Genomic DNA, 16,187 nt, shown 5'->3' on the forward strand with positions numbered 1-16,187 from the left:
CTGCTTTCCTGTGGCTTGCTTCTTTCATTTTTTAACAGAAATTTTATTGAGTATCCCCACCCTATACCAGACATTGCCAGGCACTGAGGATCTGAAGGTAATCTCATTTTACCCACATTCCAGTGTAGGAGACAGACATGGAATCTTAAATTTTAAAAAGATGTATATACCATGCACCATATGAGAATGATGCACCAAGTGCTGTGGAGCCCAGAAAGGTACATGATTTTTTTCTGCTAGGAGAGGTAAAGCAGGGAAGCATTACAGAGGAAGGATGACATTTGTTCCATCCTTGGTCTTAGTTTCCAATGGCAGTTGGTTAGGAATTAGATGGAGTTAGGAATGGGAATAGATGGCATGGAGTGGGGGAGAGTGAAGTCCGAGGCTCAGAAGGTCTTTAGGACTTAGACCTGAAGGGCTTTCTAGGGGGACTGCCATGCCAAGGAGCTTGCATATTTCTTGGTGGTCAGAAGTTTTCAAACTGTTTTGCAGAAAACTAGGACTGTTGGGATGGGGCTTGATGGGACACTGGACCCTACACTGTATCTTCTTTTTTTTTTTTTTTTTTTTTTTTTGAGACGGAGTTTCACTCTTGTTGCCCAGGCTGGAGTGCAATGGCACAATCTTGGCTCACCGCAACCTCTGCCTCCCGGGTTCAAGCGATTCTCCCGCCTCAGCCTCCTGAGTAGCTGGGATTACAAGCATGTGCCATCACGCCTGGCTAATTTTGTATTTTTAGTAGAGACTGGGTTTCTCCATGTTGGTCAGGCTGGTCTTGACCTCCCAACCTCAGGTGATCCGCTTGCCTCGGCCTCCCAAAGTGCTGGGATTACAAGTGTGAGCCATTGCAGCCAGACTATATATATATATATATATATATATATATAATTTTTTTTTTTTTTTTTTGGTGGTAGGGTCTCACTCTCTCACCAAGGCTGGAGTGCAGTGGCACGATCAGGGCTCACTGCAGCCTCGACCTCCTGGGATCAAGTGATTCTCCCGCCTCAGCCCCTCTAGTAGCTGGGACTACAGGCATGTGCCACCACGCCTGGCTAATTTTTTTTATTTTTAGTAGAGATGGGGTCTCACCGTGTTGCCCAGGCTAGTCTCCCTTCCAAAGTGCTGGGATTATAGACGTGAGCCACCGCACTTGGCCAAGAAGTAATTTATAACAGAACAATTTATATTTTCATAGAACAGTGTTTTATGTGACTAAGAACTTGACATAAAATGAACAGTAGAAGCATTAGTCATGATTGAAATTAAAGCTCCTATAAAATTTCCACTGGTATCATTGGGTGGCCCTCAGGGTACCACAAGTAAATACTCTCTTCATCCCCTGTCCTCCTTATCTTCTTTGGTTTTTATTTTTATGGAAGAAATCACCATATTCTAGTCATCTGGATGTACTGCCTTGGGTTAATTTTTGGCTTCTTGTGTTTTCTACACTCCACAAGATGTTGAACACAGTATCTTTCACTTGGTAGTATGACATCTTGAGTTTTGAGCTATTTGCATGTATTACTTATTAAATCTGTGAAGTCAAATAAACAAGAACAATACTGCATAAAATATGCCGATTTTACAGGTTGTTCCATACAATAACTTGTAAAGTTGACATGCTGTTTTATGCAGTATCATTCTTGCTGGACCATTTTGGTCCCTGGAAGGCACAGGTCATTCTCCTGCCATGAGGCAGGATCACATTGAGAAGTACCACATTATGACCTGAGCTTTAAAAATTACTGTTTGTAATTGTTAAGTAATTAATTTTGAGTCAGTAGCTTTTGTAAGTATTGTGTAATACTGCATTTAAAATATGGTTTTATTTTCAGTCATATGTCTTATGACATGTATCCTAGCCCTTCTGGTAGTTTTATAGTGGGGCAAAATAGAGACTCCTTCACAAGTGTCAGTTCATTCCTGTGGAGACCCAGCACTTGTGTGAACTAGGCATTTTGGTTGTAAATTATTACAGTATGGGATTTTTTTTAACAGTTAATTTTTTCCTCTTCTGGACTAGTCTTCAGTTAAAGCCTGCCATCGTGTGGTGTTTTAAAGCATGAGATTTAAGCATGTGGCATGACTGCTGAGCTTTTATGATGAGTAAAAAGTGAATACTATTAAATCTTTTCATATGTGATCAACATTTGGCCAGTTTATTTCTTCACTTTATTTTAATATTACAATATTATTTTGAAATTTTTATTAATTAAAGATTCCTCCTTTAGCCAGTCCTCAAACATCAGTAAGTAAAAGTACTCTTTTACTTTTTTAGTTTATTTTTAAGATCCTGTTTCTCCAAGAAAAATACAATAGCAGTTTTAAGAACAGGTATTAATAATTTTGATGTTATTATTATTTTTTGAGACGGAGTCTCACTCTGTCACCCAGGCTGGAGTGCAGTGGTATGATCTCGGCTCACTGCAACCTCTACCTCCCGGGTTCAGGCAATTCTCCTGCCTCAGCCTCCCAGGTAGCTGGGATTACAGGCACACCCCACCATGCCCTGCTAATTTTTGTATTTTTTATAGAGACAGGGCTTCATTTTGGCCAGGCTTGCCTCAAACTCCTGACCTCAGGTGATCCACTTGCCTCGGCCTCCCAAAATGCTGGGATTACAGGCATGGCCCACCATGCCCGGCAATAATTTTGGTATTATTAAGGCTTCTCTGTGTAACTACTGTTAATAATTATTTGGATGAGAGAAATACTGACCTTTAAAATATAATTATTGGGCAAAATATATCCAAATGAACTATAATTTTATAATGTAGAACTCCATTTAAAAAAAAGTGGTTATTTAGAGGCCGGGTGCAGCAGCTCATGCCTGTAATCCCAGCATCTTGGGAAGCTGAGGCTGGCAGATCACTTGAGGCCAGGTGTTCGAGACCAGCCTGGCCAAAATAGGCAAACCCTATCTCTACTACAAATACAAAAAATTATCTCGGCCTAGTACCGCATGCCTGTAATCCCAGCTACTTGGGAGGCTGAGGCATGAGAACCACTTGAAACCAGGAGGCAGAGGTTGCAATGAGCCGAGATCGCCCCACTGCGCTCCAGCCTAGGTGATGGTGAGATGCCATCTCAAAAAAAAAAAAAAGTGATATTTAGAGAAAAAGAAACTTCAGTTTGAACCTCAGCTTGTTTTTTGTTTTTGTTGTTTTTGAGACGGAGTTTCACTCTTGTTGCCCAGGCTGGAGTGCAATGGCACAATCTCGGCTCACTGCAACCTCTGCCTCCTGGGTTCAAGTGATTCTCCTTCCTCAGCCCCCTGAGTAGCTGGGATTACAGGCATGCGCCTCCATGCCTGGATAATTTTTTTGTATTTTTAGTAGAGACGGGGTTTCTCCATGTTGGTCAGGCAGGTCTTGAACTCCCAACATCAGGTGATCCGCCCACCTCAGCCTCCCAGAGTGCTGGGATTACAGGCATGAGCCACCACGCCCGGCCTGTTTGTTTGTTTTTTTGATACAAGGTCTCTCTCTGTCACCCAGGCTGGAGTGCAGTGGTGCGGTCTCGGCTCACTGCAACCTCCACCTCCTGAGTTCAAGTGATTCTCCTGCCTGAGCCTCTCGAGTAGGTGGGACTACAGGCATTGCGCCACCATGCCCAGCTTAAGTTTTTGTATTTTTTGGTAAAGACGAGGTTTTACCATGTTGGCAAGGCTGGTCTCGAACTCCTGACCTCAAGTGATCCGCCAGCCTTGGCCTTCCAAAGTGCTGGGATTACAGGCATGAGCCACCGTGCCCGGCCCTGAACCTCAGTTTTTTGGTAGTTGGTTTTATAAACTGAAATAATTTTTATGCAAAATATTAGGGAGGCCGTTATTTATTGTTACCTCTATGTAACAAAATGGGAGGTACTTGCAAGCTTGGGGTCAATTAGTTCTTACTAATATCAGGGGAGTTTCAGTATCATGCATTGGGTTATAACATTACTTTTTAAAATAACCTTTTCTTCTCATTTAGTGTAATTTGATTTTCTTTTTTTTTTTGAGACTGGGTCTTGGTCTACTGCCCAGCTGCAGTACAGTTGTGCAGTCATGGCTCACTGCAGCCTCAACCTCCTGGGCTCAAGCGATGTCCCCGCCTAAGCCTCCCAAGTAGCTGGGACTACAAATGTGTGCCACTGTGCCAGGCTCTTTTTTTTTTTTTTTTTTTTGTAGATTTGGGGTCTTGCTATGTTGCCTAGGTTGGTCTTGAATTCCTGGTCTCAAGTGATCCTCCCACATCAGCCTCTCAAAGTGATGTGATTACAGACGTAAGCCACTGCGCTCAGCATGATATCCTGACTTACAGTTCCTGTATGTTTTGGCTTATAATATGCATTATATTTAAAAAATGAATTTTCATTTCTTCAAAAATATCCTGTGTTAGTGTGCCTCTTTATAGAACAAGGGGGACATGCAGTCTCACTCAAGGACAAGCAGGATTCTGGTACATTGGTCTTTAATATGGACGTCTTTGACCCATAGTTATTAGTAATCATGTGACATTGAAAGAGAATGTTAGCCAACAAAAACTCTAGATCCAGTGCTTGTGAATTGCTTCTCTAATTTTGATAGGTGATGGGAGCCTTTATTTAAACTACTTCTTTTGTTTGTCCCTTCAGCAGAGAGGGAGAAGACCTCAAGTCATCAGTATGGTTTGATGTCTTATGCTTTTTAAATCTGTTCCAGCTATGCTAAGAAGGAATCTGATCTTAATGGCGCCCAGATCAAGCTTCGAGAATATGAAGCAGCACTGAATTCGAAAGATGCAGCTCTTGCTACTGCACTTGGTGACAAAAAAAGTTTAGAGGGAGATTTGGAGGATCTGAAGGATCAGATTGCCCAGGTAAGGTCAAGCCTACTCTTGAGCCGTATGTGACAGGTTAATTGCCTCATCTGCCTTAAGCCATAGTTTGATTGATTGATTGATTTTCAAATGTATTTTATTTTTGAAATTTTATATATTTGTTTTCTGATGGTTTACTTGAAGAAAAGTCTTGAGGTAGCTAACATGCAAAACATTATCACCTCCCAGGCATTATATCTGGATTGGCCAGATCTTGTGGTTCCCTTCTTCTTCCCTATTGTGCACACACTCATTCTGTCTCTGCTCTCAAAGCCTATTTTGTTAGTTAGGAAATAAGTAAGAAAAGAGATGCCAAAATGCTGCTCTCCACACAGGAAAAAATGAAAGTGGTTAGCTAAAATAACTAGTTTGATTTTTGAAATGTGAGTGAGTCATACGTCTCTGTTCTATTCCCTGTTGCCAATTAACAATTTGACTGGTCGTTTGGTATGATACTCTGTGGGTGGGACCAGCAAATGAATACCCAGTTCTGTGATAAATGTTAAGATGAAGTAATTATACATTGATAAATATATAGGAATTTTAACACTTGATTTGATTTGATTCATAGATATCTTATGTTCATTATTAAATGATTGCCATGTAATTTTTATCACAATTCTTTTTCCTTGTAATAGTTGGAAGCCTCCTTAGCTGCAGCCAAAAAACAGTTAGCAGATGAAACTTTACTTAAAGTAGATTTGGAGAATCGTTGTCAGAGCCTTACTGAGGACTTGGAGTTTCGCAAAAGCATGTATGAAGAGGTAACTATATATAATTTTGCTTTGTAAAGGAATGGAGGGGTTCTAGAATGACTTTGTCATAGCTAAACATGTAATTATATTTTATTTATGATTTCTTTGCCACAAAAATATATCAGATAAAGAAATAATAAGGTTTGGGGATGGGGAGAAATTTTGCAGGTAGATTATTCAAGCTACTGCTGCTAAAAGACCGCATTTGAGAACTCAAGCTGTTACCGTAAACAGATATGATTTCACTTCATCTTACTTATTTTTGTTTTTTTGTTTTTGTTTTTTTGAGACGGAGTCTTGCTCTGCCGCCAGGCTGGAGTACAGTGGCACGATCTCGGCTCCTTTCAACCTCTGCCTCCTGGGTTCAAGCAGTTCTCCTGCCTCAGCCTCCCGAGTAGCTGGAACTACAGGCGTGCGCCACCACGCCCAGCTAATTTTTGTATTCTTAGTAGAGACGGGATTTCACCATATTGGCCAGGGTGGTCTCGATCTCCTGACCTCGTGATCCGCCCACCTTGGCCTCCCAAAGTGCTGGGATTACAGGTGTGAGCCACCACATCCGGCCTCACTTCATCTTAACTTATAAAGGCTTGGTCACAGCAGCTAATTACTGTCAACATGTTTAAGCATTAGTTATCTATTCCTGCCTAACAAATTACTTCCAAAGTTCATCAACCTAAAACCACAGACTTGTATTAATTTCTTAGTTCCTGAAGGTCAGAATTCAGAGCTGCTAAACTGGGTGGTTCTGTTTCTTGGTCCCATGAGGTTGCAGTACAGCTTTTAACCTGGGCTGGAGGAATGGCATCTGAGCTCTTTCACAGGGCTGTGGGCAGGACGTGTCAGTTCCTCACCTCATGGTCTTCTTCATAGGGCTGCTCATGATATGGCCCCCCTAAGGGTCAGTGATGAGAAAGAGAGAGAGAGAGAGAAAGAAACACAACGAGAACATGAATACATGCTACCAGCTACCAAGGCAGAAGCCAGATTGTCTTCTATAACCTAATCACAGAGGTTACATACCATCACTTTGGCCTTCTCCTATGGCTCACATCTGGAAATGCGGCTACTCACAGCATTTATAGGCGTGTAAATTTTTTTTTTTTTGAGACACGAGACCCGCTCTGTCGCCCAGGCTGGAATGCAGTGGCATGATCTTGGCTCACTGCAACCTCTGCCTCCTGGGTTCAAGCTATTCTCCTGCCTTAGCCCCCCTAGTAGCTGGGACTACAGGCGCATGCACCCACGCCCTGCTAATTTTTTGTATTTTTAATAGAGACGAGGTTCCACCGTGTTAGCCAGGATGGTCTCAATCTCCTGACCTTGTGATTGGCCCGCCTCAGCCTCCCAAAGTGCTGGGATTACAGGCGTGAGCCACCGTGCCCGGCTCACTCATGTGGAAATCTTAAAATATCACTTATAAGCCTTAACTGCTGTGGTCAAGGGGCAGGGGCAAAACCGTTGTCAAACAAAGGAAGTAATAAAATTGAGGAAAGGGGAATGTATATTTCATGAAAATTGTAGAGGGTTGAAATCAACTCATGGGGGAGAACATGCTGTTAATGTGCTAGGCTTAATGTTTTTAGAAGTAGTGTAATTTTGAAAACAGTGCAAATAGGAATTCATTGTAGCAGTTAGCAAACCAGTTTTTTAGTTGGAGGAAAAATAATAGAAATCTGATTATTTTTTAAAATTACAGGCTTTAAACAAAATAGATATTAGTGCAAGGTGCACCAGACAAGCAGTCAGACCTTGGACAACTCTTAGTGTCAGTTTCTTATTTAAAATGAAATACTAATACTGCTATTTTTTTCTTCAATGAGTGGTAAGGATCAAAGTGGAATACTGTGTGTGAAAACTCTTTGGATACTGTAGCAAGTGCTGTCATATAATTGTTACTAAGTGTTGCTTTGTTAAAGCAGATATTTTGATATGAGGTTGACTTACATTTTTGTTTTGTTTTGTAAAAATTGTGATTTATCATTACTTATTTCTGATGTTGTGTGTAGACAACCAGGAGTAGGGTTTTTTTTCTTTGTAAGGTCACTGGTTCTATATAAAAAATAGCATCAGTAAAAAGTAATTTAATATTTTTAGAGTGCATAGCATCTTTGAATTTTTGGCCTTTGCCTTTTTGAGAATGGATGTTAAGATAGTCCTCTTCAGTTTTGTTTTTGTTTTTGTTTTTTTTAACTCTTTTTGGAGACAGAGTCCTGCTCTCTCGCCCAGGCTGGAGTGCAGTAGTACGATCTTGGCTCACTGCAACCTCCACCTCCTGGGTTCAAGCGATTCTTCTGCTTCAGCCTCTGGAGTAACTGGGTCTACAGGCATGTGCCACCATGCCCGGCTAAGTTTTGTATTTTTAGTAGAGACAGGGTTTCACCACATTGGCCAGGCTGGTCTCGAACTCCTGAACTCAAGTGCTCCATCTGCCTCGGCCTCCCAAAGTGCTGGGATTATAGTTGTGAGCCACCGCACCTGGCCTTTTTTACTTTAAAAAAAATTTTTTTGTGTGAGACAGAGTCTCACTCTGTTGCCCAGGCTGGTGTGCAGTGGTACGGTCTTGGCTCACTGCAACCTGTGCCTCCTGGATTCAAATGATTCTTGTGCCTCAGCCTCACGAGTAGCTGGGATTACAGGTTCACACCCTCACAACTGGCTAACTTTTTTTTTTTTTCCTTACTTTTTACTAAGTAATACCATGTTGGCCAGGCTGGTCTAAAACTCCTGGCCTCAGGTGAGCCACTCGCCTCAGCCTCCCAAAGTGCTGGGATTACAGGTGTGAGCCACTACGCTGGCCTTAACTTTTTTTTTTTACATTCATGATATATATTCAGTAATAATATCTAACTTCCTTATTATGAACAGTTGGGGGAAAAAAGGAAGGAGAAAGACGAAAGAGGAAGGAGGAGGTAGACAAAGAACAAACCATTAGCAGTCACTCTTCAGTATTTTTGTGATTTAGGTATTATTTGCTTCATGAAATAGATGTGATCTCTGGGAAGGTGATAGCAGAATCCTCCTGATTTTTCTGATTTTTCAGATTTTGTCAAGTGCATGCTCCTGTGTAGTAGTTAAGAGAAAGATGAAGAAATGCAAAGGAAAATACATGCGCTAATATACACAAACAGCAACTTTGGTGGGTTATACTTCCCTCTTGTGGCTTCTTCAGATATTACCATTCTAATTATTATTTTTTTTTTTTTGAGACGGAGTCCAGCTCAGCTGCCCAGGCTGGAATGCAGTGGTGCGATCTTGGCTCACTGCAACCACCGTCTCCCAGGTTCAAGTGATTCTCCCATCTCAGCCTCCTGAGTAGCTGGGATTACAGGCACCCTCCATCATGGCTGACTAATTTTTGTATTTTAGTAGAGACAGGGTTTTACCATATTGGCCAGGCTGGTCTTGAACTCCTCACCTCAGGTGATCTGATTGCCTTGGCCTCCCAAAGTGCTAGGATTACAGGCGTGAGCCACCGCGCCCAGCCTTCCATTCTAATTTTATTTAGACACTTCCTTAAAACAGAGTAAAGGAAAGGATCATGACAACTACTTCTATTCTTCAATGGTAAATTTTTCATAAATATTTGAGTTAGTCAACTAATATTGTTAATAAGATCCTGTGTCACTTGATAATGATAGCTTAATACCGGCTTTTAAAGAAGTCATGTAAATTAGCTTGTGCTGCCTATTATTATGTCTAAGAAAATGGTTTTATGGCTGGGCAAGGTGGTTCACACCTGTAATCCCAGCAACTTGAGTGGCTGAGGCAGATGGATCACCTGAGGTCAGGAGTTTGAGACCAGTCTGGCCAACATGGGGAAATCTCATCTCTACTAAAAATACAAAAATTAGCTGGGCATGGTGGTATGTGCCTGTAATCCCAGTTACTAGGGAGGCTGATGCAGGAGAATTGCTTGAACCCGGGAGGCGGAGGTTGTAGTGAGCTGAGATCATACCATTGCACAACAGCCTGGGCGACAGAGTGATACTCTATCTCAGAAAAGAAAAGAAAAGAAAAGAAAATAGTTTCATTTCACATAAATCTTTACATGAATTTATCACAACTGTTAAGTTTAACTTTCCATGTGCTGTTTTTTCAGAGATGTTCTTAAGATTATCAATGAAACAATTCAGAAAAATAATTTTTGCTTAGTGTTTAGTATAGTATACTGTGTATAAATCCTTGATTGCAGATAGTTTTAGTAGGCCATCCAGGCCTTTCCTTGGCTTCAGAAAAATAAATAGCTATGCTCCTGAAAAGGAATAGAAAGTTCCTAAGGCTTGAGATGCTACCACTTCTGTCATTAGTTCCATTTCAAAAACCTCAACTGAAAACTAAGAGGCAAAAAAGTGTTTATTCACATGACCGCCTGAGGACAAACAGGAGGAAGTTCGTGTGTAAAACTTCAGATGGCTGTGATGTCACTCAGATGTGTACCAATGCAGCCATGGTAAGTAGCTTGGCTTTATGCTTTTTGTTTTTTCCCCAGGAGATTAACGAGACCAGAAGGAAGCATGAAACGCGCTTGGTAGAGGTGGATTCTGGGCGTCAAATTGAGTATGAGTACAAGCTGGCGCAAGCCCTTCATGAGATGAGAGAGCAACATGATGCCCAAGTGAGGCTGTATAAGGAGGAGCTGGAGCAGACTTACCATGCCAAAGTGAGCTCTCTTCAGAAGATTCTTTTGAACACTTAAAATCATTACTTCACAATTCCCATGATGAACATGGCTTTATGTTTATTTTGTTCTAGTTTTTAAAAATGATTCCCCTAGTCTCCATGAAATATATAGAAAATTGATTTTTTCAAAAAAGTGCAGTTTTCTATAAACTAAATGTTATTAAAAATTACTAGAAGAATGTAGGGTTGTTGCAATTTTATTAGAGGTTAGGTTTTGTCTTTTTGTCCCATTGATCATTCGTACTATGCCATAGTAGTTGAACCCAAACCATGTGAAATAACTTTCTTCCAATAACAAGTACTGATCATGCTGTCCTACATAAACATCCATTTAGTAATGAATGAATGTCAGACTGCATTAGATCTCACTTTCATGTCATCATTGTGCATAGATTGTGACTACCACACTTCCGGCTTTTTTGCATAAGGGCCAAATGGAAAGTCTCTGCTATTTCTTCTTCTGTCACTATTATTCACTTAAAAAAATATTGTAGAAACTTCCCACTTATATTAGCTGACCTTACAAGAATTCATAAAAATCACCAACTAGTACAGGCTTTCCCTGGTAAATGATTTTGCCTTGTGTTTTAAATGTTACATGATTTGATTAAAAAGACTTTTTTGTGGTTGACTTAGAATATTAGAGTCACAGAGTTATTGAAAATTTTCATTGCATGGCTTTAAACTGTTCATGTTGCTTTTTATCTATTGTATGAAGTAGCAGTTAGTGAAAGTGAAAGATCTTATTATAAGCAGTAACTTCAGTTGTATAACATTTATCTAATATCACACATTGAGCTATACAGTGAAGGAGCTAAAGTAAGGATCCGTCACAGACTGTGGCCTCACAGGGAGCCAGGGAGGAGACACAGGAGCATGTCCCTGAGACACACATACACAATAGTGTTATGGGATTTGTATTTTACTCAAGGAGTTTTTTTTGCTTCTGAAAGGAAGTGTTTCTATCTGGTTTGAACGAATCTATAAACTAGTATTTTCTGCTTGTTGGTTTACATTCTGTATTGGATTTGGTGGGTTAGGGATATGTGATGTTTCTTTTCTTACAGACACCACCACAGTCAAGTTGCTATTGCCCAGTCTTCTTATTATCAGTGTTATCTTAGACATTAAAGGTTTAATAGATGAAATATTGAAGTAATAAGCTTTGGGTAAAGGCCTAGGTATATTAGCATTCTTAAAGCTCATTATTTAGGAAGTGACTCTAAAAGTCACACAGAATTACCATCATTCACACCATATCAGCAAACTTCATGATGCTTTTCCTGTGTTTCATCTACCAGTTACCAGCAGGACTTAGGTTTGAAATGCCTTGAGGTGAATCATGCTTCCTTTTTTGTTTCAGTTCTAGATAAGACTGACTATGCTTTGCTTCTTCTTTTAGCTTGAGAATGCCAGACTGTCATCAGAGATGAATACTTCTACTGTCAACAGTGCCAGGGAAGAACTGATGGAAAGCCGCATGAGAATTGAGAGCCTTTCATCCCAGCTTTCTAATCTACAGAAAGAGGTAAATAATCATCTTTCTGTAAGAAGTTAGACTTGAAGGCTACCTTCACCACGGGCACCTACCTGCTTTGCTTGGGCTGATGTCACTCCTCCCTCTGTTTGTTACAGAGGATGGTGTCATCCTGTGCTTTCGTCTTCACAGTACTTTTCTAGATTCGTTCATTTTGCATTGCATAAACATCCTGTGAGCAGATACTATTGTTCCTAATTAGTAGATTACACAGAGCTAAGGGACTTGCCCTTGAGGAAGGAGCCTGCTAGTTTATTCACTGTACTTACCCTAGGACCCGGATCTTCCGACCTGTCTAACAGCTTCATCTCTACAGAGTTATTCTCAACACCTTCCTTTTTTATATCATTTGAAAACCAAAATGAAGAAAAACATGCAAAAATTCTTTGTGGGTGGTGAATGCTTTGTGTTTCTAGACAAATTCTTTAGTGCTTAAAGTATATAACAATTAGGATCCAGGAAAGTAGCTTTAATTTGCATATTCCGATAAGAATTTAGTGACTCATTCATTCGTTGGTACGCCTAAGTGACAAATGGCATTATTGCCGGCTGTGTTGACTGGCTGCCTATCAGGGTGTGATGGTGTGCTTCAGGTGCTGCTTAAGCAGGCATGGACACTACTTCAGATCAGTTTTAGCCTAGGGTGATGTCAGTGTGGACACAAAGTACATATACTCCATATACTGCATTCAGAATGATTCAGCAATTAACTCGTCACCTTAATTATTTTGGAAATAACTTCCGCTTCTATTTTCCTCAAGGGAGGAAATCTTGTTTTGAATTTTCCACATGAGAATAAACTTTATTTTACTTTTTTTTTTTTTTTTTTTTTTTTCTTTTTGAGATGGAGTCTCACTCTGTCGCCCAGGCTGGAGTGCAGTGGTACGATCTCGGCTCACTGTGAGCTCCGCCTCCCGGGTTCACGCCATTCTCCTGCCTCAGCCTCCCAAGTAGCTGGGACTACAAGTGCGTGCCACCACGCCCGGCTAATTTTTGTATTTTTAGTAGAGACGGGGTTTCACCGTGTTAGCCAGGATGGTCTCGATCTCCTGACCTCATGATCCACCCGCCTCGGCTTCCCAGAGTGCTGGGATTACAGGCGTGAGCCACCGTGCCCAGCCTATTTTACTCTTGATTGGGCTTTTCTTCCTTCCTTTTTCTTTTTACCATTTTTAGTAAAATATTTTTCTAATTATAAAACTGATGACCTCTGTTGCAGGAACTTAGAAATAAAGCAGAAAATGAGTCCCATAAAATGGGGTGATATAAAATAATTTAGTTAACACAGGGGCTTTTACACTGTCTATCATGTGCTTTGTTACTTACGGCACAAATTTTTAAATTATTTTAAACCTATTTTGTGCTGATAGTGTTTTGAAGATTTTCATTTAATAGCAGAGCTGGAAGCACCTCTGAGTTCATTCCATGTAACCACAGATCTAGGTGAGTTTAATGATTTGCCCGTTGCCCAGAGGCTGCAGACTGATAAATGGGTTTCTCTACTCCTTCCCAGTTTTTCCTTTTATAACTCATTTTCTTCAAAGAAGATTTACTTTTAGAAATTTAACAGATAATCTTTTTTTCCATTGCACCATCTGTCTTAGTCCTTTTGGGCTGCTATAACAAACTACTATTGACTTGGTAGCTTATAAACAACAGATATGTCAGAAATTATTTCTCACAGTTTTGGAGGCTGGGAAGTCCAAGATCAAGGCACTGGCAGATTGGATATCTGCCTGGTGAGGGCTGTTCCCCGATTTATAGATGGTGCCTTCTTGCTGTGTCCTCACATGGTTAAAGGGTGAATGAGCACCCTTGGCCCTATATTATAAGGGCATGAATCCCATTCACTAGGGCTTTCCTCTCATGATCTAATTACCACTCAAAGGCCCTACCTCTTAATATCATCACCTTGAGGGTTAGGATTTAAACATGAAATTTGTGGGAACACAAACACACAGACTGTATCACTGTCTTTGTTTTTCTTGTTGTTTTTTTTTCTTCTGAGACAGAATTTCGTTCTTGTTGCCCAGGCTGTAGTGCAATGGCGCAATCTCGGCTCACTGCAACCTCCGCCTCCCAGGTTTAAGCAATTCCCCTGCCTTAGCTTCCCTAGTAGCTGGGATTACCGGCATGCACCACCACACCCTGCTAATTTTGTATTTTTGGTAGAGACAGGGTTTCTCCATGTTGGTCAGGCCGGTCTTGAACTCCTGACCTTAGGTGATCCGCCCGCCTCAGCCTCCCAAAGTGTTGGGATTATAGGCGTGAGCCACTGCACCTGGCCTATATCAACTGTCTTAACAGGTACTTTTCCAAAAATGGGCCTCTCTGTTCTTGTACTGAGTTGGCATTTACTACTCTTTTCCATTTACTAATAGTAAGTTGTCTACTAGTTACTGTCTATCCCTCAATTTTATTTTTTCCTACTGTATTATTATTTTTTTGGCTGCTGCCTAATCCATTTGATTTACTTAGTACAGATCTTCTCTTGAGGTTGATCTTCACTGTGCTTTGGATGAGGAGACTGTTATTAATAAGTAGTAGTGGGCTCTGAAACTTAGTAGCTATGTGTTCTAACCTAGGTTCAAGGCTGTTTCCCTGTTAATTGAATTCCCATTTTTGCAAGTTGGTTTTTTTTTTTTTTTGAGACAGAATTTTGCTTTTGTTGCCCAAGCTGGAGTGCAATGGCACTATCTCAGCTCACTGCAACTTCTGCTTCCCAGGTTCAAGTGATTCTCCTGCCTCAGCCTCCTGAGTAGCTGGGATTACAGGCACGCGCTACCACGCCCAGCTAATTCTTTGTATTTTTAGTAGAAATGGGGTGCACCATGTTAGCCAGGTTGGTTTCAAACTCCTGACTTCAGGTACTCTGCCTACCTTGGCCTCCCAAAATGGAAGGGATTACAGGCGTGAGCTGCTGCCTTAAATGCTGGGATTACAGGTGTAAGCCACTGTGCCTGGCTGCAAGTTTTTTTTGTTAACCTTATCTTAGTGGTTTTTAAGTAATGTTAGGCAGTGCACTGGGGGTTTCCAGGAGCTAACTCCTTAGCAGATAGGAGACGAGCAATCCCTTTAGCCAAAATAGTTTTTAATTTCTCTGGGGTGAATCTTTCCTCTGTTCATTATTGGTAACAGACTTTATGGTAAACAGTATATTTTGAGGAATATTTTTATTAGTTGATAAATTTTAGCCTTAGAAAAATCATCAAAAATAAAAATGTTATCTTTTTGAATATTTTCCTATTGTTTGTCTTAATAGTGTTTGTTGCTGAGTCATATCAGTTTCATCATGCTGCCTATTAGGCCATAAGAATTTCCTTTTGGTTAAATAACTCAGGTTAGTGAAGTACTTCTTAAATTTTACTTAAAATTGACATGGCTTTAAAATACTGGTTTTACAAGATATATTTAAATAATATATAGATGGTAGCAGTGTTATGTTTTGGAATTAGAAATTTTACATTGCTTATAGCATCTCTAGATTTTTGACTTGGGACCAAATGAATTGGTTGGTTAGAGTCTGCTTGCCTTAGAGAAGAGTACAGTATGGTACTTAAAAACACCTCTAACTTTTGTTTTTCTAACACCCAGATTCTGGAGACTTTGGTTGCAGCTAGACCTTAATAAACCAGTACAATTACATTACATACTATAAAATATTTAAAAACCCCAAGATCATCAGAAGTCATAAAATTTAGGGTTAGTGGCAAGATCTGAGAGATCATCTAGATAGTTAGAGCTCTTCATTTTCCTTATGTGGAAACTGGTTTAGTGAGATTAGTTACAGCTTGCTTATAGCCTCATAGGTAGTTTCAATGGCAGAATTAGAAAGGAGAATCTAGGTCTAACTTCTCATACTGTGTTCCTTATATTTCACTACACAGGTGTAAGTGCAGCTACTGAAAATAGAATTTAAATATTTCTATTTAAAATACAGAATGATTCAGAGTAACTTTAAAATTTTTATACCTAGATTTTGATTTTTCCCTCTTAAAGAGCTCTACAACATCAAAGGCAGTCAAACAGAGACATCATTGGGTTTATAAATCTCGGCTCAGGTTATCTGTGAATCTTGGGTAGTTTATATCTCTCATCAACTCTCCTTTAGATTCTACCTTTTTGCCCATTCAAATATATCTTCTACCTCTGATATATGAAATAAAGGGAGGCATTTTGAACTTACATGACTTTTTTTTTTTCTTTTGGAGAAAAAGAAAATACAAGGAACATGGTAGCGGGGAAATGGATTTCTCCATTTATAGCATGATTTTTGCAAACGCAGTTAAATGCAAGTTCTCTGAGGTTCAGGGACTACCTTTGTAATATCCATCTTAAGAGGAGTGCCTGTCTAAATAGCATGTCAAGTCATAT

The 16,187-nt window shown here is 40.2% G+C and overlaps 1 protein-coding gene across 7 annotated transcripts in view; it reads left to right on the forward strand.

The window, feature by feature from the left end:
- LMNB1 (lamin B1) overlaps positions 1–16,187 on the forward strand; it is a 60,398-nt gene that overhangs the window by 23,472 nt on the left and 20,739 nt on the right. For 5 of the 7 annotated variants that reach the window (NM_005573.4, NM_001198557.2, XM_047417173.1 and 2 more), the window contains exons 2-5: positions 4,682–4,838; positions 5,477–5,602; positions 10,086–10,256; positions 11,679–11,804. In NM_005573.4, the coding sequence (NP_005564.1) occupies positions 4,682–4,838; positions 5,477–5,602; positions 10,086–10,256; positions 11,679–11,804 (580 nt within the window). Of the gene's footprint in view, positions 1–4,681; positions 4,839–5,476; positions 5,603–10,085; positions 10,257–11,678; positions 11,805–15,075; positions 15,154–16,187 lie in introns of all 7 variants that reach the window. The other 2 variants (NR_134488.1, NR_177109.1) reach the window with 1 other exon arrangement.

This window comes from Homo sapiens, chromosome 5, assembly GCF_000001405.40.
Source record: "Homo sapiens chromosome 5, GRCh38.p14 Primary Assembly".
Lineage (NCBI taxonomy): Eukaryota > Metazoa > Chordata > Mammalia > Primates > Hominidae > Homo > Homo sapiens.